The following is a 24,534-nucleotide window of genomic DNA, read 5'->3' as shown; positions in this document are numbered from 1 at the left end:
TATGGCTGTGGAGTATTCCATGATGTATATGTGCCACATTCTCTTTATCCAGTCTATCACTGTTGGGCATTTGGGTTGGTTCCCAGTCATTGCTATTGTGGACAGTGACACAATAAACATACATGTGCATGTGTCTTTATAGTAGAATGATTTATAATCCTTTGGGTATGTAACCAGTAATGGGATTGCTGGGTCAAATAGTATTTCTAGCTCTAGATCCTTGAGGAATTGCCACACTGTCTTCCACAATGGTTGAACTAATTTACACTCCCACCAACAGTGCAAAAGTGTTCCTATTTCTCCAGCATCTGTTTCCTGATTTTTTAATGATTGCCATTCTAACTGGAGTGAGATGGTATCTCATTGTGGTTTCTGATTTGCATTTCTCTAATGACCAGTGATGATGAGCATTTTTTCATATGTTTGTTGGCTGCATAAATGTCTTCTTTTGAGAAGTGTCTCTTCATATGCTTCGCCTGCTTTTTGATGGGGTTGCTTTTTTCTTGTAAATTTGTTTAAGTTCTTTGTAGATTCTGGATATTAGCGCTTTGTCAGATGGATAGATTGCAAAAATTTTCTCCCATTCTGTAGGCTGCTTGTTCACTCTGATGATAGTTTCTTTTGCTGTGCAGAAACTCTTTAATCAGATACCATTTATCAATTTTGGCTTTTGTTGCAATTGCTTTTGGTGATTTAGTCATGAAATCTTTGCCCATGCCTATGTCCTGAATGGTACTGCCTAGGTTTTCCTCTAGGATTTTTATGGTTTTAGGTCTTACATTTAAGTCTTTAATCCATCTTGAGTTAATTTTTGTATAAGGTGTAAGGAAGGAATCCAGTTTCAGCTTTCTGCATATGGCTAGCCAGTTTTCCCAACACCATCTATTAAACAGGGAATCCTTTCCCCACTGCTTGTTTTTGTAGGTTTGTCAAAGATCATATGGTTGTAGACGTGTGGTGTTATTTCTGAGGCTGCTGTTCTGTTCCATTGGTCTATATATCTGTTTTGGTATCAGTACCATACTGTTTTAGTTACTGTAGCCTTGTAGTATAGTTTGAAGTCAGGTAGCATGATGCCTCCAATTTTGTTCTTTTTGCTTAGGATTGTCTTGGCTATGTGGGCTCTATTTTGGTTCCATATGAAATTTAAAGTAGTTTCTTCTAATTCTGTGAAGAAAGTCAATGGTACTTTGATGGGGATATCAATGAATCTACAAATTATTTTGGGCAGTATGGCCATTTTCATGATACTGATTCTTCCTATCCATGGGCATGGAATGTTTTTCCATTTGTTTGTGTCCCCTCTTATTTCCTTGAGCAATGTTTTGTAGTTCTCCTTGAAGAGTTCCTTCACATCCCTTGTAAGGTGCATACCTAGGTATTTTATTTTACTCTCTTTGTAGCAACTGTGAATGGGAGTTCACTCATGATTTGGCTGTCTGTCTGTTATTGATGTATAGGAATGTTTGTGATTTTTGCACATTGATTTTGTATCCTGAGACTTTGTTGATGTTGCTTATCAGCTTAAGATTTGGGCTGAGACAATGGGGTTTTTTTAAATATACAATCATGTCATCTGCAAACAGAGACAATTTGAATTCCACTTTTCCTAACTGAATACCCTTTATTTCTTTCTCTTGCCTGATTGCCCTGGCCAGAACTTCCAATACTATGTTGAATAGGAGTGGTGAGAGAGTGCATCCTTGTCTTGTGCCGGTTTTCAAACAGAATGCTTCCCGTTTTTGCCCAATCAGTACAATATTGGCTGTGGGTTTGTCATAAATAGCTCTTATTATTTTGAGATATGTTCCATCAATACCTAGTTTATTGAGAGTATTTAGCATGAGGGGCTGCTGAATTTTGTCAAAGGCCTTTTCTGCATCTATTCAGATAATCATGTGGTTTTTGTCATTGGTTCTGTTTATAATGATGGATTATGTTTATTGATTTGCATATGTTGAACCAGCCTCGCATCCCAGGGATGAAGCAGACTTGATCATGGTGGATAAGCTTTTTGATGTGCTGCTGGATTTGGTTTGCCGGTATTTTATTGAGGATTTTCACATCAATGTTCATCAGGGATATTGGCCTGAAATTTTGTTTTTTTATTGTGTCTCTGCCAGGTTTTGGTATCAGGATGATTCTGGCCTCATAAAATGAGTTACAGAGGAGTCCCTCTTTTTCTATTGTTTGGAGTAGTTTCAGAAGGAATGGTACCAGCTCCTCTTTGTACCTCTGGTAGAATTCAACTGTGAATCCATCTGGTCCTGGGCTTTTTTTGGTTAGCAGGCTATTAAGTACTGCCTCAATTTCAGAACTTGTTATTGGTCTATTCAGGGATTCAACTTTTTCCTGGTTTAGTCTTGGGAGGGTGTATATGTTCAGGAATTTCTCCATTTCTTCTAGATTTTCTAGTTTATTTGCATAGAGGTGTTTATAGTATTCTCTGATGGTAGTTGGTATTTCTGTGGGATCAGTGGTGATATCCCCTTTATCATTTTCTATTGTATCTATTTGAGTCTTCTCTCTTTTCTTCTTTATTAGTCTGGCTAGCGGTCTATTTTGTTGATCTTTTCAAAAAACCAGCTCCTGAATTCATTGATTTTTTAGGGTTTTTCATGTCTCTATCTCCTTCAGTTCTGCTCTGATCTTAGTTATTTTTTGTCTTCTGCTAGCTTTTGAATTTGTTTGCTCTTGCTTCTCTAGTTCTTTTAATTGTGATGTTAGGGTGTCGATTTTGGATCTTTCCTGCTTTCTCTTATGGGCATTTAGTGCTATAAATTTTCCTCTAGGCATGCTTAAAATGTGTCCCAGAGATTCTCCTACATTGTGTCTTTGTTCTCACTGGTTTCAAAGAACATCTTTATTTCTGCTTTCATTTCGTTATTTTTCCAGTAGTCATTCAGGAGCAGGTTGCTCAGTTTCCATGTAGTTGTGCGTTTTTGAGTGAGTTTCTTAATCCTGAGCTCTAATTTGACTGCACTGTGGTCTGAGAGACTGTTATGATTTCTGTTCTCTTGCATTTACTGAGGAGTGTTTTACCTCCACTTATGTGGTCAATTTTAGTATAAGTGCGATGTGGTGCTGAGGAGAACGTATATTCTGTTGATTTGGGGTGGAGAGTTCTGTAGGCGTCTATTAGGTCTGCTTGGTCCAGAGCTGAGTTCAACTCCTGGATATCGTTGTTAATTTTCTGTCTCGTTGATCTATCTAATATTGACAGTGGGGTGTTAAAGTCTCTCACTATTATTGTGTGGGAGTCTGCCTCTAGGTCTTTAAGAACTTGCTTTATGAATCTGGGTGCTACTGTATTAGGTGCATATATATTTAGGATAGTTAGCTCTTCATGTTTCATTCATCTCTTTCCCATTATGTAATGCCCTTCTTTGTCTCTTTTGATCTAAAGTCTCTTTTATCAGAGACTAGGATTGCAACCCTGGCTTTTTTTTTTTTTTTTTTTTTTTTTTTGCTTTCAATTTACTTGGTAAATCTTCCTCCACCCCTTTATTTTGAGCTTATGTGTGTCTTTGCACGTGAAATGGGTCTCCTGAATATAGCACACTGATAGGTCTTGACTCTTTAACGAATTTGCCAGTCTGTGAGTCTGTGTCTTTTAATGGAGGCATTTAGTCTGTTTACCCTTAAGGTTAATATTGTTATGTGTGAAATTGATCCTGTCATTATGATGCTAGCTGGTTATTTTGCCCATTAGTTGATGCAGTTTCTTCATAGCATTGATGGTCTTTACAATTTGGTATGTTTTTGCAGTGGCTAGTACCAGTTGTTCCTTTCCATGTTTAGTGCTTCCTTCAGGAGCTCCTATAAGGCAGGCCTGGTGGTGACAAAATCTCTCAGCAGTTGCTTGTCTGTAAAGGATTTTATTTATCCTTAGTTTATTAAGCTTAGTTTGGCTGGATATGAAATTCTCGATTGAAAATTCTTTTCTTTAAGAATGTTGAATATTAGCCCCCACTCTATTCTGGCTTGTAGGGTTTCTGCCAAAGAGATTCACTGTTAGTCTGATGGGCTTCCCTTTGTGGGTAACCCGACCTTTCTCTCTGGCTGCCCTTAAGATTTTTTCCTTCATTTCAACCTTGATGAATTGGCAATTATGTGTCTTGGGGCTGCTCTTCTCGAGGAATATCTTTGTGGTGTTCTCCGTATTTTCCTGAATTTGAATGTTGCTGGCCTGCCTTGCTAGGTTGGGGAACTTCTCCTGGATAATATCCTGAAGAGTGTTTTCCAACTTGGTTCCATTCTCCCGGTCACTTTCAGGTACACCAATCAAACGTAGATTTGGTCTTTTCACATAGTTCCATATTTCTTGGAGGCTTTATTTGTTTCTTTTCACTCTTTTTTTTTTTCTCTCTAATCTGGTCTTCTTACTTTATTTCATTGAGTTAATCTTCAATCTCTGATATCCTTTCTTCCACTTGATCGATTCAGCTATTGATACTTGTGTATGCTTCACAAAGTTCTCGTGCTGTGTTTTTCAGTTCCATCAGGTCATTTAAATTCTTCTCTAAGCGGGTTATTCTAGTTAGCAATTTGTCTAACCTTTTTTCCAGGTTCTTAGCTTCCTTACATTGGGTTAGAATATGCTCCTTTAGCTTGGAGGAGTTTGTTAGTACCCACCTTCTGAAGCCTACTTCTGTCAATCCGTCAAACTCATTCTCCATCCAGTTTTGTTGCCTTGCTGGTGAGGAGTTGTGATCCTTTGGAGGAGAAGAGGTGTTCTGGTTTTTGGAATTTTCAGACTTTTTGCGCTGGTTTCTCCCCATCTTCATGGACTTATCTACCTTTGGTCTTTGATGTTGGTACTATTCCTTTCTGTTTGTAATCATAATTAGAGGGTTGAAACTTTCGGTCCTACTCCAACCTCTAGGAAGGGGAGAGGAGCTGAAGGTTGAGTCGATAAACCAATGGCCAATGATTTAATCAATCATTCCTAAGTAAACAAGTTTCCATAAAAATTCTAAAGGACTGTTTTGTGGGCTTCTGGATAACATTAACACATGCAGGTTCCCAGAGCGTGGCATAGCTGGAGAAGGCATGAAAACTCCATGCCCCTTCTCCACGCCTTGTGTTATGCATCTTGTCTGTTCATCTAGCTGTTCATCTGTATTCTCTGTAATATCCTTTATAATAAGTGGATAAATGTAAGTATTTCTGTGAGTTCTGTGAGCCACTCTAGAAAATTAATCGAACCCAAGGAGCGGATCATGGGAACCCCAATTTATAGCTATTCAGTCAGACACAAGGCTACAACTTATGCCTGTGACTGGCATCTGAAGTAGGGGGGCAGTGTTGTGGGACTGAGACCTCATCCTGTGGGATCTGATGCTGTTTTCCGGAAGACAATGTCAGAATAGAATTGAATCAGAAGACACCCAGTTGGTGTCTGTTGGAGAGAAATCTTCATACATTTTGGTGACCAGAGGCCACAGAAGTATTCTGTCTTGTATGATTATAGTAGGAGATACTACTCCCCACCAACCCCCATATCCTCAGATATATCTACAGAGGCTTCCAATAATTATAAACTATAACACAGTAAAGTGCTTCGAGGGGGAAAAAAATCCTTGAATAATACTGTCAAATGACTTAATGCAACAAATGACAAGGGAAAGAAGGCCTTGAAAAACACAACACACTGAAGGCATTCAGTACAAAAACAAATGGTCTTAACAGCACTTGAAAGGGCCCAACCATATTATAGCTCTGAGTAATAATCGATAACTATGATACTCCTGAGGCATTAACAAATTAAATGACCAGTATACTCTATTTCAGAAAGCCAGACTATAGCTAATAATTTTTTTAATAAAAAAGCAAATTAAAGTTATTTTAAAAATATCAGTATATTGGGGAGATTTTAAAAATCACATATAATAATACATCATTCATTGGCAATATACATACTCTCAGAAAGTCAGTTACTCTTCAAACCTTTCCAATCTCCTTTCATGCTCCACTAAACCCTCTGGAAAGCCACTCACAAATCCGGTGATCTGCTTGGTCAACCCTTTCAACCTCTTTTGAGTTTCTTCACAAATTCTCAAAGCTTGTAAGCATCTTTTCTCTATTTCTTACTCCTTAAATGTACATAGCGTCTAAGTAGACCTTACCACTTTATATTCTTTGTAAATTTATGGGTTCAATTATAATCTCCCAATTTTGTTTCCAGCCCTGGCTTCTCCCTTATATTTTCAACTGCCTCTTGGTCATCTCAGTATGAATGATCCATAGGTACTCAAAGGGGAAACAGTAAAAATCTAACTTTTCTTCCCTCTAAAACTAACTTGCTCTTCCTTCCATGTTTACTTCTTTTATCAGCAATACCATTCTTCCAGCAATGCAGGCAAATGCAGGAAAATCTCCTAAGACGCTATTGGTCCATTCCCCTTTAGTGTTACCCTCATTTTAGGACCTGCCTCTCAAGCTGAGTTACTGTCACTTATTCTTTGCACATAAGACCTCTAGGCCTTTAACAACTCACTTTTCTATTAGTCCTCACTTTTACTTCTTTCCTTCCACAGCTTATATTCCATGTTCCATTAGTCAGACCACCATCATGTCAATATCTTACTCTCAATGTACCAACCTGAAGTAGCACAACATAAGCATGTAATCAGACTGCTGAACAAAACCAATACAATGATGTATACTGGTGCTGCTTTCAATTTAAGACCTCTAATTAAGCTAGTGAAAAAAAAAATCCCAAGTTGCACTAGTCTAATTTCTACAGTATCTATTACAAACTGTCCTCCTGTTCCCTAAGTCTTCGACTTTACCTTATTTGTAAATAATCCCAACCTCTTCCTAGAGAAAATGAAAGTCAGGGAATACCTCTTCTTCCATTCACTAAACTAGTTTCCACATACTTTTGCTTCACTCTTCACCATTACAATGTAATAGTGCCCTGAAGAATCTCCTGATCTTGCTCAACTGATTATCACTCTTTCTCCTAGCACTGAAATATGATCAAGACCCTGATATTTTAAAAAATACATAAAAACCTTACTTCGCTGTCATAATCATCTCTACCCACTCTTTCTCCTTATAGCTCAAGCACTGTTTATATTTATTTTGATTTCTTCACTTGCCAGAGTCCTCAATCCTGTTTCCCATATTCACCAATCCCATTAAGCTCATTCACCAAGGTCATCAACAAACTTCTTGCTCCTAAACAGAACTTGACTTTTTCCTATGCTGCTCATCAGCACCTGACACTTTCACCACATTCTCCTGCCTGAAGCACTTTTCTTGGGTTTCTAAAAACACTGCATACTCTGGATTTTTCTCACACCTTTCTGTTCCTTCCCAGTCTGCCCTGTAGGCTCATTTTCCCCCCTCTGCTAGCCCTCAGATTCTCTTCATGGCTGTCTTGGCCCTCTTGTCTTGTTACACTCTCCCATGGCAATTTCATCTACCCTCATGGCTCTAGTTATCACTTAACACTAAAGAATTTCAAATATGTATCTACTATTGAGCTTTTCCCTCTGCTATAGATGCATATATTCAAGGGTCTACTAATCATTACCACTTAGATGTCTTGAGGCTATCTCAAACTCTGCACGTGCACAAAAATAAATTCTTCGTCTTCAATCCCCACTAAATTTGCTGCGATGCTACTTCAGCTCAGGGATTGCTATCATCATCCATTCAGGTATTCAAGCCAGAAACACAAACACTATCCTTGACTCTTTATACTCCAATATCCAATCTACATACACTTCTGGAGATTCAACCTTTAATCTACCACAGATCAGTTCTCTTCTTACTTACCCCTGATTCAGGGCAGTATTACCTACTGCCTGGATTACTGTATTCTCTTAAAGAGGTCCCCTTCCTTTAGTTCCCTTCCCCTGAATTCTTCATTCTGCAGCCAAAATGATCTTCTGAAGTTGGTTCTTTCTAAGAATTCTGCCTAGCCCACAACTCACCATACCCCTTAACTGTGAGAGGGGTTGGCTTTGAAGCACCATGTTTATGCTACATGACCCTGCCCTCTTAGCACAGCTGATTAAACCAAGGGTAGACAACTGACAAGGAACCAGTCAGACTCTCTCCAGAGGACTTGAAAGTGGGAGAGAAATTCAGAGGCTGTTAAGTTAGAGCTGTATAGTTAAGAGAAGACAGTATACACAGAGCAATGAAGCAGACATGAGAGACAAGACACTATGCGATACAACAGAAGAGGACGCATCTGATACTGAACCATGTCTGGTTCCAAATCTTTGTGAAGTCCAGCCGCACTTCCTACCTCTGCATATGCTGAATCCTCTGGGTCACTTTCTTTGTCTTTTGCTTAAGTTTCTGACTTATAACTAAGACATTCTTAGCTAAAATAATTCTTCTAACATGCAATTTTGACCCTGAATCTCCCTTGCTTAAAATCATACCACAGTTAATTTCTGTTCCTAAGATAAAATCCAAGGCTTCATTAGGGTTGTGGACCAAGAACTAGGGGATTCCAGGAACTTCAGGACTCTGGATGATTTGGCCCTGGCCCTCTCTTACCAGATCCTCCTCCCTCTCCAATCCCAGGATCCAGCCACAATTAACTGCTTTAAAAGTACCACAATCTTTTCACCTCCAAGCCAACATGCGGGGAGAGGACAGGGAGGAATCTGTAACACACTCTAACCCCAACTTTACCTGGTCAAGACCTACTCATCCCTGAGGCTTCAAGTTCAGTCAGTATACTCACTCCCAAGACAACACTGAGTCTTTCTCCATGGCAGCACATGTATTACCCTGAATTGAAATGTCTGTGCTTCCCATTGGACTAAAACACATGTAAGGGTAAAGAGCATGCATTTTGTTCACAGTTGGATTCCCAGAATTGCATAGCACACACTCAAATATTTTTGAATTAATCTAATCAGCTGCCAAATTGTGTTGATTTTACTGTCTTGATAAATTACTTTTTATTTCCTTAGACACTGTCCTACTTCAATCTCATTTCTTCTCTAAAATATTTCAATGATTTCTTAACTACTCTCTCTGCCTAATTTCACTCCCTTCAAATCCACCCATTATCTCCTGTAGCAAGTAGGTATTGTAATATAAGTTAATTTAATTCTCTCTTCTCTCAAAAACTGCCTTTAGAACAAAGCCCATCCAGTTGAATGTTTTATTCCTGGACCATATTAAGCTTTTCTGCCTTGATGCCTCTGTCCCCTTATGTGAAATGCCCTTTTCCACTATCTCCAAGTGTTCAAATATATGCCATTATATAAGGCCAAGAAATGGTATCTTTCGTTGAATTTTATTTATACTTCTCATGACACAATTTTTAAAACATTGAACTAAAAGTTACCTATATATCTAACTGTAAACTTATTCTGTCAACTACGAAACATCAAGTTTACAGATTATGCAAAGATAAAACATGTAAAGCAACTCAACATAAGTGAAGAAACTGAGTTATTAATATTCACAAATACTTTTCATAATAATGTTACTTATGATTAATAAAATTATCTTTGTCTGCAAGATAGACTTTTCAATCTATCTAAAAGAAAGACTTTTAGAATGCTTTCATTACCAAAGACTGATGCTTAGTTTTGGTTAATGACATCCTTTAAACAATTAACTTGAAATTTATATATATATGTAAACATATATATGTATTTATTTATTTATTTATTTATTTATTTTTAATTTTTAAACAAGATCTCACTCTGCCACCCAGGCTGGAATGCAACGGCACAAGCATGGCTCACTTGCAGCCCCAAACTCCTGGGCTTAAGCAATCCTCCCATCTCAGCCTCCTGAATAGCTAGGACTACAGGCGTGTACCACCAAGCTTGCTTAATTTTAAAATTGTATAGATGGGGTCTCATTCTGTTGCCCAGGCTGGTCTCAAACTCTTGGCCTCAAGTGATCCTCCTGCCTTGGCCTCCCAAAGTGCTGCGCTACTACACCCAGCTGAAACTTCTATTAACTAAAATTGGCTTAATTTTAAGGGTGCACAAATAACCATGATACCTCAATCAATATTAAATTTTCCTTTGTGGGCTTGGTACTTCAGATATTTCTTGGTCCAACACCTTCTAGTCATTCAGTTAAATTTTCAAGTTAGGAAAACAATATTGAAATAACATTTGGTGATTATGTAGCAGGGAGGATTCTAGAAAGCAATTTTTTTTTTTTAAAAGCCAGCTACTAAACTGCACTAATAAAGCTTTCCAAATATTTGAGCTCCTTCAGACTAGTCAGTTGTTAACAGGGTAAAAAAAGAAAAAAAATTTTTCAACCCTATATGGCAGTGTTTTCCAAACTAATGAGCTCCAACACACCGATGGGCCATGAAATGAATTTGGTGGATTTGAATTTTTTTTAGTGAAATAGAAGAGAATAAAGAATATTAGGATGTAACTCATGTGGTAAGGATAAATATTTGCAAAACTTATTTTTATACTGTTCAATCAGATTTGGCCCAAAGCTGCCTCCATACACTATTAACTGTACTCTAGCTTGATGTGTAAACAAGTTATAACCTAACTTAGGAGTATACCCTTATAACCACACATCTGAGTCTCAGCCAATCCCAGGTTAAAAGCTGCTAGATTATGCCCAAATAAGGCAAACACCAACCTGCACCAATCAGGTAATTTCTGTATGACATTTCCTATTTTTCCCTGTTATTAGAACAGCTCACCAGTTGTAAGTGGTAGTATTCTGAACCATCTTAGAGTGCTGTCTGCTTCTAGAACCTTTTTCCTGCTCAAATAAACTTTGTTAAGTTTAAAGGTTCTTAGGGGTTTTTTTTGTTTAGTTTAGTTTTTAACAATACACAGATAAAGGCATACTGCATCACCAAAGTTATTTTTTTTCCCATAGGAAAAAAATACTCATAAAAAAAATCTACCTCCTTTCCAACAAAAAGTTATAGCAGGTTAAGTATTTAAATATACCTAGGGTTCTTTTCTTATTACATAAGAGCATTTAAAGTGACTTCAAATTAAGAAAAAAAAAACTGAATTCTAAAAGAATTTTCTCATTTGTCTTTGATTTACTGTGGACTTTACTGATCAAGTACATTCCGCAAACTATGGCATGTAACATGCTACCCAGTAAATTACTATATATTCTGACTTCTCATTACTGAATCAGGAAATGACTAAATAATTTAATATGCAATTAAGGTTTAGATGAAGTTGATTCATCAAGAGATAATTGTAATCCAACTGTCATGCCATGACTGTAACACATGAGACATGCTCATTCTTTGACAACCTAAAGTTTGTCTTCCTTATACTCATATCTAAAATATCATTTAGGTACACAGCTAATAATAATAAAATGGCTAGGATTCAATATGCTTTAAAAAATACTTTTGTCAAAGATTCTTTATAGACAAATGAATAATTTTACATTTCTCTCAAAAGATGGGATAATAATCTCTTTAGTTTATCGTTATTTTGGTTACCAAGAGTTAGCAAAGGTTTAGAATTTCCACACAAGGCAACATTGTGTAAATGCGGTAATAGTACTGACGGCAATATCTGATAATACATAAAAAAAGAACAAAAATAGCAATAAATCTAGTCAATGCATACGAAAATTTCTAAGGTGATATGGAGGATACAAATTTACAGTCATGGGAGGATATTTATCTTAGATATCTTTGGGTTCAGTTCGCATTACTGGTTATTTTTGTTTTAATAGTTGTGAAAGTACAATTTCAACTTTGCAGTGAAAAAGGACAAAGACAACAGAGCCAGAAAAATGATACCACAGCCACACAGAAATTAAGTACATCCTTTAAACAAACCCCTTTTGTATTGTTTGCTTTACTTCACTCCTGCTTCCTTAAGAACACTGGCAAACAGCCATATTTCCTGTTTTACACGGCTTAGCTGCAAGGACTCTTAAACAATAAAGAGAAATCAAGGGGATTTTATAAAGACAAATTGTTGTTACAATATTTGTAATGTAATCTAGTTATAATATTGTAAATAATGTGTATTTACATCAATAACTTGCCATTCTCCTTTAAATCGTACACTATATTTTCAAACTGATGAAATAATTCAGTTATTATTCCTGAAAAATAAGATTATTAGGTGCAAACACTTTCTCTGGAAAAATCAATTTTATAGTGTTTGCTGTCATTCTAAAGGTATCTGTAAAAGAGATACCAGTATGACTGATTGCTCTAGCTTGGCAAGAATATTTGTTTATAATCTCAAAGATCAACTGTGAGAGGCAATCAATCCTTTGTTTGGAGTTTTCTGTCTTTAGGATATGAAAGTATCCAACTAGTTGATATTACAAATGTTTCTGCCATTTCAGAAAATAATTATTTTCTCTTGGGCAAAAAAATAAAAAACAACCCTTGATATCACAAAGAGTTTGCCTCTCTAACTTACTGTTTCTTTGATCCTAGGCAACTTCTGATTCCTTAGTTTCTTCATCTGTAAATAGAGATATTTGTACTTGTCTTCCAAATTATTGAGAGCATCAAATTAAGTAAGAAACTGGCACATGATAAGCATTCAACAAATCTTAATTCCTTTTCCTTTTTACTTAACTCAAAACAGAAAGCCATAAGCATAAAATATTTCTAAAGAATTCAGTTTTTTTTTTTAAATTTTTTCAGGCAATATCAACAGGGTCAATGTCAAAAACAAAATTCTCCTCAGGGTTGGTTACAAACATAAGCTCTAATGAGCCATTTCATTATACTCATTATTTGGCTTCAAAAACTCAAGATACCAATGTGTGCTTTCAGGGAAAATAAAAATAAAAAATAATAAAAAAGGAAACTTAAGGAAACGAATTAACGCAGTGAGCTCCCTGCTGATGAAAATATCCTCTTTAGTCATCCTGGTATTTCCCTCCACTGCCCCATACAATTCCAAGCACAAAAACACTAAATAAATATTACTACAGAACTGAAGCAAATAGCCCCGTGTGCCTCAAAAACTCCTGAGGTACCACCATGTGCTGGAAAATGACTCCAAATGACTATGAATCAGGAAGAAATGGATGAATTATTAACTGCATGCCTAGTTTGAAGAAATCTAAATAGATTATTGGCAATTGAATTAAAGTCTAAAATAACTTAAAAGCAAAAAACAAAATCTTCTAAGCACTGTAATGCACTTTTTACTACTGATATGAAGAACACTTCACCAGCTTTTCAGAAGTCTGTAAATAATCAGAAAATGCGAGGAAATCTGCCATCACATATATGTAAAGCTAGGTTCAGGTAAGGGCTCATCCAGTTTTTAAAAAGCAAACAGTACTCAAAGTAGAAACTACAAGCAAAGCAAGCAAGGATCAATCTGAGCTGCCAAAGTGGTGCACTTGAGCCATCTAGTGGATGGAGAAAAATGTAAGTTTAATTCTGTAAGAAAAACGTCCTACTGCTCAATTCCCTATGAAAACAGTAACAAATATGTTCTTTGGAACAGTACATTAAAATTGATAAAAGATAGTATTGAACTAACAAGTAGATATCGAGGAAAGATGAAAAATACAATGACGACAAATTTTTCAGGGTAGAGTTCAGATTTTATGGATAACTAAAGATGAAAACTAAGGACAAACACTCTTCCTTTATGGTATTTTTCTTACAACCATATAATCATTAGACCACACATAATTTATAAAACACATTACAGAAAATAAGAAAGATTTCTTGCCAGCTCCAGCTACCAAAGCCAAAGGTGGGGAGAAAAGAGAAATAGGAATAGATAAATGAATTTCTATGAGCGCATATAAAGAAAAGGAGGTTACCTTTCTGCCAGGGGACTCACATTCAATTATGGTTATGGCAACCCCAGCTCACCTAGGACTCCTGCTCCCATGTGGGACTGAAGGCAAAATGACCTTAAAATTTTCAGTACTCAGGAGGCTGAGGCGTGAGGATGGCTAGACGCCAAGAGTTCAAGGCTGCAGTGCATTATGTTCAGGCCAGTGAATAGCTACTGCACTCCAGTCTGGGCAACACAGCGAGGCCCCATTTCTAAAAAATAAATACCACGCTAGGTGTGGCGGTTCACGCCTGTAATCCCAACCCTTTGGGAGGCCGAAGTGGGCGGATCATGAAGTCAGGAGTTCGAGACCAGCCTGGCCAACATGGTGAAACCCTGTCCATACTAAAAATACAAAAATCAGCTGGGCGTGGTGGCAGGCGCCTGTAATCCCAGCTACTCAGGAGGCTGAGGCAGGAGAATTGTTTGAACCCGGGAGGTGGAGGTTGCAGTGAGCCAAGATCACGCCATTGCACTCCAGCCTGGGCAACAAGAGTGAAACTCCATCTCAAAAAAAAAAAAAAAAAAAACTAATAAAATTTTGGAAATCACAAATTACGTGAGCAGTGTGATACAGTGGAATCCACTTAAATTTTGGAGGCACATTTTTCTTGTTCATAAAACTATGGTCTTGGAATAAATTAGTGGTAAGATCGCTCTTAACTAAAATTTAATGATTTTAGAAACCCCTACCCACTTCCCACCCCCCACCCCCAAAATAGAGGCTAATAAAAAGAAAATGTGGTTTTTTTCTTTGTATTTGTTCCCCATTAATTCACATGAACAGTATATGATTTCCTCTTCTGAGTCTGGGACACAAAGATGACTCCCTGATCCCAAGAAATAGAGAAACTAGTTAGTAGAAATAAAACACTCAAAGTTCATCTTAAAGCAAGGCAGAAACAAGGGTCAGAAAAGATACAAATGAAATGCTACAGATATCTTTGAGGCTAAGAATCTGGCCTGAAAAAAGGTAATTTTCACTTCCGTATCTTTCTTTCTAAGACTCATTGTGTAAGGAGAAAAGAGGTAGAAGGGATGGGGGATATGGTGAAGGGAATGAATAGTGAGAGGAAAGAACAGAGGCAAAAACAGCAACTGTCAAAGAAAAATATTCCATTTTGCTGGGCATACAGGTTTCATAAAGGATCCACTGCAGGAAATAAAGCTGGAAAAAGGTACGATGAATTTACTTTTGCATCACAGACCACTGGCAAACCACATCTGAGGACATTAAGCAAGGCAAATAAAGCTGGTCATGTCAATGAAAATGAGGAAAATTTTCTGAAGTTTTGGAAAGAATCAATGAAATTTGCTAGTCAACTGGCTATACAGGCAATGAGGAAGAAGCTAGAACTCAAGAAATTTCAGTCTGCATGCCAGGAAGGGTAGTGATATTATTAACCCAAGTAGAAAACATACTTACTGTGTCATATAAATTCTCATTTTACATACAAATTAGTAAGAAGAAAGATGCAGACTAAGGACAGCACCTTAGGGAAGACCTATATGTAAGCTCCCCCCTACGCCCCAGGGGAAAGAAAGAAGAAAGGCAAGGATGGAAGAAGAAATGCACAACGGTCATCAGGGTAGAAAGGAAAACTTAGAGAAGTATAATAGTACAAGAGAGAGCAATGTTAGTAGTATGAAGTGGTAAAAACTTTATTTGCTTTAAAGTGTGAAAGTGATGATAGCTATAATACATTTCCTTTTTTAAAAGTATAAGTATTATTCTGAAAGCAACAGGGAAGCATTCAAGCCTAGGAAAGGTAAACTGAAATAATTCATGTTCAGTGGCTGTTTTCACCCTAGAAAAGGACATGAGGTCCTGTGGAGCAGTAAGAGATTGGGGGAGAAGGGAAGTGGAAAACAGCTGAGAACATAAGGAAAATGAAATCATTATAAGGTAATTACAGAGGCAGTCATAAGTCAACTAAGGGCAGTCAACCAAGAACAAACAGACTATCAAGTGACACACTGGAAAAGCAAAAAGATAAAAACACTGATTTTGGACATGTTAATTTGGAGACCCTATTAATGTGATCAGGGGTAATATGCAACAGACGTACGGAAATACAAAAGTGGAACTCTAAAAAGTGGGTCACGTTCCTCGATAGAATTCATGTATAAAAGTAGCTGGTCTGATGCTGTTTCCATAATATTAATCAATCAGGTCTTTTTCTTTTTATCGATTTTGGTTATTTTTATTTTCCTTTAAAAAAAATCAACCACTTCATCATGATTACAGATAACTGGCATAGAAATGTACAAAAAATGCATCTTACAAAAACTATTACATAACAAAGTGTATTCTGTATATACACACACTTAAAAAAAGAATGAACACCAGTGTATCCATCACCCATTACCAATCCCTTAAAATTCCCCCCATAATCATCTCCTCCTCTCACACCCAAGAGGTACCATTTATCCTAAAGTTTGTGGAAATCATTGCCTTGCTTTTCTTTGTAACTTCACAATCTAAGTATTTATCCCAGTCATATTTTTCGGTTTTGGCTCTTACCAAACTTCATATAAAAGAAATCATGGCATACATATCCTTTTGCGTTTGCTTCTTTCACCTGATTTTATAACTGTGATACATGCGTGTGAGAGTGTGTGTGGCTGTAGTTCACAAATTGGGCCTATGGAATGATATTCCACTACATGAATATACCACAGTTTATCTAATCTACTACTGAGGGATATTTAGGCTGTTTCCAATTTTAGGCTATGATAAAAAACGTTGCTATGAACATTCTTGTAGATGCCTCCCCCACACATTTGCTTATGCTTTTCTAGGGTTATTTACCCTAACTTCTAGGGTATCTACGAGTTAATCTGCTGGGCCATAGGATAAGCACCTGCTCAACTATTTTAGGTGATAAAAAAACCAATTTTCCAAAGGGGTAACACCAACATGGAATTGACAGACTTTTAAATGTAACTAATATCTCACTTGGTTTTAGTCTGCACTTCTCTTAAATACTAAGGAGACTGGGCATCTTTTCTGTATACTTTCCTTTCAGTTTTCCTATTTTTGAAGTCTCTTTCTAGTTCAACTGTTCGAGTTCTTTACACCTTCTTCTTTTTTTTTCTTTTAGACAGAGTCTCACTTTGTAGCCCAGGCTGGAGTGCAGTGACACGATCTCGGCTCACTGCAACCTACATCTCCCAGGTTCAAGTGATTCTGGTGCCTCAGCCTCCCAAGAAAGTGGGATTACAGGTGCATGCTGCCAAACCCGGTTAATTTGTAACAGTCCTTTCTCAATTATGTGTTGCAAATATCTTCTCTAGTTGGAGGCTTGCTGTCTCACTCCCCTTATAAAGATTTCTGGCAAAGATGAGTTCCAAAACAATGTAGCTGAACCGATCAATCCTTTTCATGCTTTCTGTGTCTTGATTAAGAATCTTTCCAGCCTTAAAATCATGGATAATATGCTCTTTATGTTATTAAAAGCTTTATACAGTTGTTGGCTTTTACATAGAGGTATTTATTCAACCTGGAACTGATTTTTATACGATGTGAGGAAGGTATCCAATTTATTTTTTTTCATGTGTCTATCCGATTAACCTAGCACAAGTCATTGAAGCCCTTTCCTTAGTGATCTGCAATGGTGTTCTGTCACATAGAAAGTATTCAAATAGGCAGGGAATGGGTGGTTCTGGGTACTCTATTCTTTCCACTGTCTATTTTCTACCTTTGTACCAATATCACAATGTTTAATTATTTTCATTTTATAATATATCGATATCTGATAGGGCTAGCCCCCCAAACTGTCAAGAAACTCTTGACACAGACAAGAGAAAAAGACCTGCAAAGAACTTAAACACTAAAATGATCACAGCTTACAAAACTATGTGTAACAAGCTTTTAAAAAATGGCAAAACTAAATGTATCCGAATTACAACAGCAAATTATAAACAGAAAACTACTAAAAATGAAAACTGAGATAAATTAATTTAAAAAATGAAAACCTGTGGATCCGCTGGTGCAGTATACTGAAGAAAATGTACACACTTAAAATGCGTATTTTTAAGAGATAAAAGTTAATAAGCTAATAAATAATAATTTGAATTAGGAAAAGAGCAGTAATATCAACCCAAAGAATATAGTAAAAGGAAGAAAATAATGAAGATGAGATGAGAGCACAAATTAATGAAGCAAAACAGAAGAAGAATCAGCAAAACCAAAAGTCGGGTTTTTTATAAGATAAAGCCGGAGGACTCATACTTTCTGACTTCAAAACGTACTACACAGTAACAGTAATAAAAACAGTATGGTACTGGCATAAGGACAGACATGCAGATCAATGGAATAGAACAGAAAGTCCCGAAGTAAACCCATATATCAATGGTCATCGATTTCTGACAAGGGTGTCAAGACAAGAGGGAAAGAACAGTATCTTCAACAAATGGTGCCAGACAACTAGATTGCCAACATGCACAAAGAATACATTAGCCTGTTACCTATACCATGTTCAAAAATTAACTCAAAATGGATCAAAGACCTAATATAAAACTAAAACTATAAAACACTTAGAAGAAAAGATAGGAGGGTAAATCTTTTAGACCCTGGATTTGGCAACGGTTTTGTAGATATGACATCAAAGGCACAAGCAACAAAAGAAAACCAGATGAATTAGACTTTGCCAATATTAAAAACTTTTGTACATCAGAGGACATTATTAAGAAAGTGGAAAGACAACCCACAGAAGAGGAGAAAATATTTGCAACTCATGTATCTGACAAAGGTCTTGTATCCAAAACAGGAAAGAACTCTTACAATTCAACAACAAAAAAGACAAACCCAAAACAGCCAATAAGTATGTTACAAGATGTTCAACATCATTACCCCATGAGGCAAATACAAATCAAAACCATAAGGCACCACTTCATATCCACTATGATGACTACTAATATAATCAAAAAGAAAGTAACAAGCTCTGACCACGATGTGGATAATTAGAATCCTTGTATATCACATGGGTAGAAATATAAAATGGTACAACTGCTATGAAAAACAGTTTGCTGGGTACCTCAAAAAGTAAAACATAGATTACCATATGACCCAGCAATTCCAGTCAGGGGTATATATCCAAAAGAACTGAAAACAGATACTCAAACAAAAACGTGGATACACATGTTCATAGCAGCACTATTCACAACAGCCAAAAGGTAGCAACATCCAAAGGTTCATCAACTAATGACTGGATAAACAAAATGTGGTAGATAGAAACAAAGTACTGATACCTGCTACAATATGGATGAACCTTGAGGACATTATGCTAAGTGAAGTAAACCAGGTACATATTCTATGATTCAATTAACATGAAATATCCAAAAAAGACAAACCCAGAGACAAAAAGCAGATTAGTGCTTACCAGGAAGGAAATGGGACAGGGGAATGAGGAGTGACTACGTAACGGATACAGGGTTTCCTCTTGGGGTGATGAAAATGTCCTGGAACTATACAGTGGTGACGGATGCACAACATTCTAAATGTACTAAACAAATAATAAATTTATGTTACGTGTATTTTATAATTAAAAGATTTTAAAAAATAAGATTGATGGCCAGGTGCAGTGTAACCTATAACCCCACCACTTTGGAAGGCCGAGGTGGATGCATTGCTTGAGCCCAGGGGTTCGAGACCAGCCTGGGCAACATGGTGAAACTCCATCTCTATTAAAAAATACAAAATTTAGCCAGGTGTGGTGGCATGTATCTATAGTCCCAGCTCCCACTTCAGAGGCTGAGGTGGGAGGATCACCTGAGCCCGAGAGGTCAAGGCTGCATGAGCCTGGATCATGCCACCGCACTCCAGCATAGGTAAAAGAGCGAGACCCTGTCTCAAAACACAAACAAAAATGATGAACTCTCTGGTATGTTCACTTATCACTGATTATTCTTAGCAAACCATAAAGATAGCGGCATTTACTATTTGGTGTTTGCAAGACTAAACAAAAACAAAGAAGGCACAGAAAACCAATTATGAGTGGTGAAAAACAGGATGTGACTACAGATGTTACAGATGTGAAACAGATTAAAGAATACTTGTAAAACAAGGTTTATGTCAGTGTATTCTCTGCTTGTTCTATCAGTTAATGAGACAAGCCTAAAAACCCTCCAACTGTGATTATGAATGTCTTTTTCCTCCTGGTATTTTGTTTGCATTATATACTTTGTAGTCACAGCATTAAATATGTGGAATTTACAATCGTATTTTCCCATCGAAGTGTTACCTTTTATCAGTGCAAAAAACAATCCGATTTTTGCCTTTAAAACCTATATTAGTATTTGCACGATATATCTTTTTTCCATCCTTTTACTTTCAACCATTTTAAACTTTTTTTTTTTTTTTTTTTGGTAAACTACGTAGTTGGATTTTTTTTTTTTTTTTTTTTTTTTTTTTTTTTTTTTTTTGAGACGGAGTCTCACTCTGTCACCCAGGCTGGAGTGTAGTGGTGCAAATTCAGCTCACTGCAACCTCCACCTCCCAGGTTGAAACGATTCTCCTGCCTCAGCTTCCCAAGCAGCTGGGATTACAGGCACATGCCATTAGAACCAGCTAATTTTTGTATTTTTAGTGAAGACGGGGTTTCACCATGTTGGCCAGGCTGGTCTTGAACTCTTGACCTCAAGTGATCCACCTGCCTCGGCCTCCTGAAGTTCTGGGACTATAGGTGTGAGCCATCATGCCAGGCCACATAGTTGGATTTTAAAAATTCAGTAGGCCACTCAAACTAATTGGGGCTTAATTCATCTTACATTTAATGTAGTTAATGATATATTTGGATTTATATCCATCACGTTGTTTTCTACTTAATCTGTGAACTATGTGTTTCTGGGTTTTTCTCCTTTTGGATTTCATATTTTCCCTTATTTCATCCTCTATGTTATTTCACAAGTTATTACCTCTATTTCTTCTATCTGCTATTATGACACACATACTGATTAACTTTAGACTCTGAAAAGTTATGTGTCTTTACTGTCCTCACAAGTACCTTACAGAAACTCCATTCATCCTTCTGACTTACGTGCTATCATTGACATATATATTAATATGCTTTAAAGCCTATGAAAATGATTACTGTTTTATAAAAATGTTTGTTTAGATTTACTAAGATATTTATTACTCTTATGCTTTTTGATCTTTCTTGTATCTCTGGCCTCCTGTCTGAGAGTCACTTTCTTCATGCCTAGAGTACACACTTCTAAATTTCAAGTGAAGACTTCCTAATTGCAAATGCTCAGTTTTTGTCTGCAAGAAACGTATGAATTTCCCTGGATTTATTCTCTTAGTATAAAATTCTAGATTTTTATTTTAATTTAAGAAAATGTTCCCCTGTCTTCTGGGTGTGACCTTATTCACGGTAAATCTGTCTTCCTCCCCAGATATATCAAAGATCTTTTCTTTGTCTTTGATGTTCTGCTGTTTTATTGTAACAAGGCTAAGTGAGGATTTATTTATTTAACCACCTTAGGTTCCTGTGCTTCTTCAATGTATAGTTTAGTGTTGTTCACAAGATGCAGAAAATTCTTAGCCATTATTCTTTTAACTGTTGTTTACCATTCTCTCTTACAGAAAACCATTCAGATAAATATTTATTTTTAAATATGTATAACTTCTCTTTCGTACTTTTCAACTGTTTCTCTTGAATGCTTGTTGAGTAATTATTCAGTTCATTATTTCCTTTTTTGAGTTTATATAATCTGCAGTTAAATTCATCTATTGAGGATTTTTTTTTTTTTTTTTGAGACGGAATCTGGCTCTGTCACCCAGGCTGGAGTGCAGTGGCGCAATCTCGGCTCACTGCAAGCTCCGCCTCCTGGGTTCACGCCATTCTCCTGCCTCAGCCTCCCGAGCTGCTGGGACTACAGGCACCCGCCACTACACCCGGCTAATTTTTTGTATTTTTAGTAGAGATGGGGTTTCGCCGTGTTAGCCAGGATGGTCTTGATCTCCTGACCTCGTGATCCGCCCACCTCGGCCTCCCAAAGTGCTGGGATTACAGGCGTGAGCCACCACGCCCAGCCCTATTGAGGACTTTTAATAAAGTTTCAACTACTATAATTTTCAATTGTATAAATTCTAGCTATTTTTAAAAAATCTCTTTGAATAGTCTTTATAGTTTCTGAATCTTGGAACATATTTTCAACTTTTGTTGAAACATATGAAACACTTACTTCATATTCTGTAGCTGCCTATTCCTATTTTCCAGCAGGTCTGCTGTTGAGTCCTGCTCACAGTGCTTAGTTTCTTTATGTTTTTCTTTTTGACTATCACAGTTGTTCTACTTACTTAGAATTTTATTTCTAGGAAAACTTTCAACTCTGGGATGGAGATGAGTTTCTCCAAAGAGAATTTCTGTTAGCTTCTACAAGAGTCTGGGGATACTCACTGCCAGTCTATGTATACTGCCATTATGGGGATAAATTATCTTAGGGAATTCTTTTTCTGTTTTTTTTTTAGATCACCTACACAGCGTTAAATTCGCACTGCAAATTATACAAGGGTCAGCTGGTTGCTTAAAATTCTCAGCAGTGATCTTGCCCCCATATTCACTCCGACAAGGTTTTAGCTATACAAATAATTTTTGCAGTGTGGTTCCCGACCAGCAAAATCACTATCATCTGGAAACTTATTAGAGGTACAAATTTTAAAAGTCTCACCCCAGACCTACTGAATCTTACACTCTGGGGATGTTGCCCAGCAATCTTTGTTTTAACAAGTCCTCCATGTGATTCTGATGCACATTAAAAACTAAGAAGCATGCAGAAAATCAACTTTCCCTGCAATCTTGAAGGATGGTGGGATTGGTGGTGGTTTCCAGTTTAGCTGAGTCTCAGCTTTAAGGTGAAGAGGAAGAACGTATCAGATTCATCATCCCAGAAAGAAAGACCTTATTATTTCCTCAGGTTCCTCAATGCTCTCTGATGCTGAGGAAAGGAAACCAGATTTGGCAAATGCCCCCTGGGCAAAAACCAGTTTAAATGTCACAGACAATTTCCCAGACATCCTGTACCTTCCCTTCCCTTGTTTTCTTTTTTTCTCTTAAGAACTTTCACTTGATGCTTTAGCTAGGATAATTTAAAAAAATTTTTTTTTAATTTTGAAATAATTTTAGATTCAAAGGAAGTTCCAAAGATAGCAAAAGAGGTCCCCTGTACCCTGCACCCAGTTTCTCCCATGGTTACATCTTACTATAATATAAAATCAAAACTAGGAAACTGACATTAGTACAGTGTGTGTGTATAGCTATGTATCGCTTTATCACAGGTGCAGATTTGTGTCACTACCACCAATCACAATCAAGATACAAAACTGTTCCATCGCCACAAAGACTACCTGCTTTATAGTCACATTCACTTCCCTCTCTGTTCCCATAACCCCATCCCTAATCCCTGGCAACAACTAATCTGTTATTTGTCCTCCATGTCTATAATTTTGTCATTTCAAGAATGTTCTATAAATGCAGTCATACATATGTGACTTTTCGAGCTGACTTTTCTTCACTCAGCATAATGTCTTTAAGAGTTCTGATTAGTTGCATATACATCACATTCCCTTCTTATTGCTGAGTAGGATTCCATGATACAAATGAATCACAAATGTCCCAGAGATTTTTTTTTCCATGTTTTAAGTTTTATGGTTGTAGGGTTTACATTTAGAATCTATGATCCACTTGCAGTTAATTTTTGCACAAGGTTTAGGTCAAGGTTTATTTTGTTGCCTATGGCTATCCAACTGTGCCAGTACCATTTGAACAGGCCACTTTCCTCCACTGAGTCTCTTTTGTACGTCTGTCAAAATCAATTGGCTTTACTTGTGTGGAGCTATTTCTGGGTTTCTAGTCTGTTCCACTGACCTATGTGTCTATCTGTCTGCCAATACTACACTGTCTTGATTATGCTATCTTTATAAGTCGAAATTGAGTATAGAGTGTTTCCTCCCACCTTATCTTTTTCAAAACTGTATGAAAAACTAGCTACTCTGGTTCTTCTGTCTTTTCATATAAATCGTAGAAAAATTTTGTCTATATTTACAAAAAGAACCTGCTGAAATTTTGTTAAACTTGTATTACATCTATTTTAGGAAAATAGTCATTTATAACATGCTGAGTCTTCCAATCTATGAGCACAGTATGTCTTTCCATTCATTTGGGTCTTTGATTTCTTTCATCAACATTTAATAGTTTTCATCCAACAAGTCCTATGCATGTCTTGTTAGACTGATATCTAGGTATTTCACTTTTTTTTTAGCAATTCCAAATAGTATTTCACTTTTAATTATGGTTTTCACACGTTCATTGCTAGTGTAGAGAAATTCAATTGCTTTTTAAATGTATCTTGTGATCCTGCTACATTATTAGTTCCACAGATTTTTTGTAGATTACTTAGGATTTTCTAAACAGATGATCACGTCACAGGCGAAAAGGAAGGTGTTTCATTTCTCCTTTTCCAATTGTCAGGGCTTTCCCCCCGCTTGTTTTACTGTGCTGGGTGGAACTCCCAATATTTTGTTGAATAAGAGTTGTGAGTGTGTGCATCCTTGTCACCTTGTTTCCAATCATAAGGGGAAAGCATTCAGTCTTTCATCAGGTATGATGCTGTTTATTTTCTATAAATATTCTTTATCCAGTTGAGGAAGTTTGCTTCTATTCCTAGTTTTCTAAGAGTTTTAATCATAAATGGTATTGAATTTTGTCAAATGCTTCTATAGCATTTGATATATTTTCTTCATGATCCTGTTAATATG

At 36.8% G+C, this 24,534-nt stretch overlaps 1 protein-coding gene across 26 annotated transcripts in view; it reads right to left on the bottom strand.

Moving 5' to 3' along the window:
* Window positions 1-24,534, bottom strand: part of MAPK8 (mitogen-activated protein kinase 8) — a 132,684-nt gene that overhangs the window by 62,321 nt on the left and 45,829 nt on the right. For 4 of the 26 annotated variants that reach the window (XM_047425482.1, XM_047425480.1, XM_047425484.1 and 1 more), the window contains one exon: window positions 12,384-12,428. The exons of the other annotated variants lie outside the window; for them this stretch is intronic. The gene's annotated coding sequence lies outside the window, so the exon portion shown is untranslated. The remainder of the gene's footprint in view (window positions 1-12,383; window positions 12,429-24,534) is intronic. 26 annotated transcript variants of the gene reach the window in all.

This window comes from Homo sapiens, chromosome 10, assembly GCF_000001405.40.
Source record: "Homo sapiens chromosome 10, GRCh38.p14 Primary Assembly".
Taxonomy (NCBI): domain Eukaryota; kingdom Metazoa; phylum Chordata; class Mammalia; order Primates; family Hominidae; genus Homo; species Homo sapiens.
This window is presented reverse-complemented; position numbering and strand designations above follow the sequence as displayed.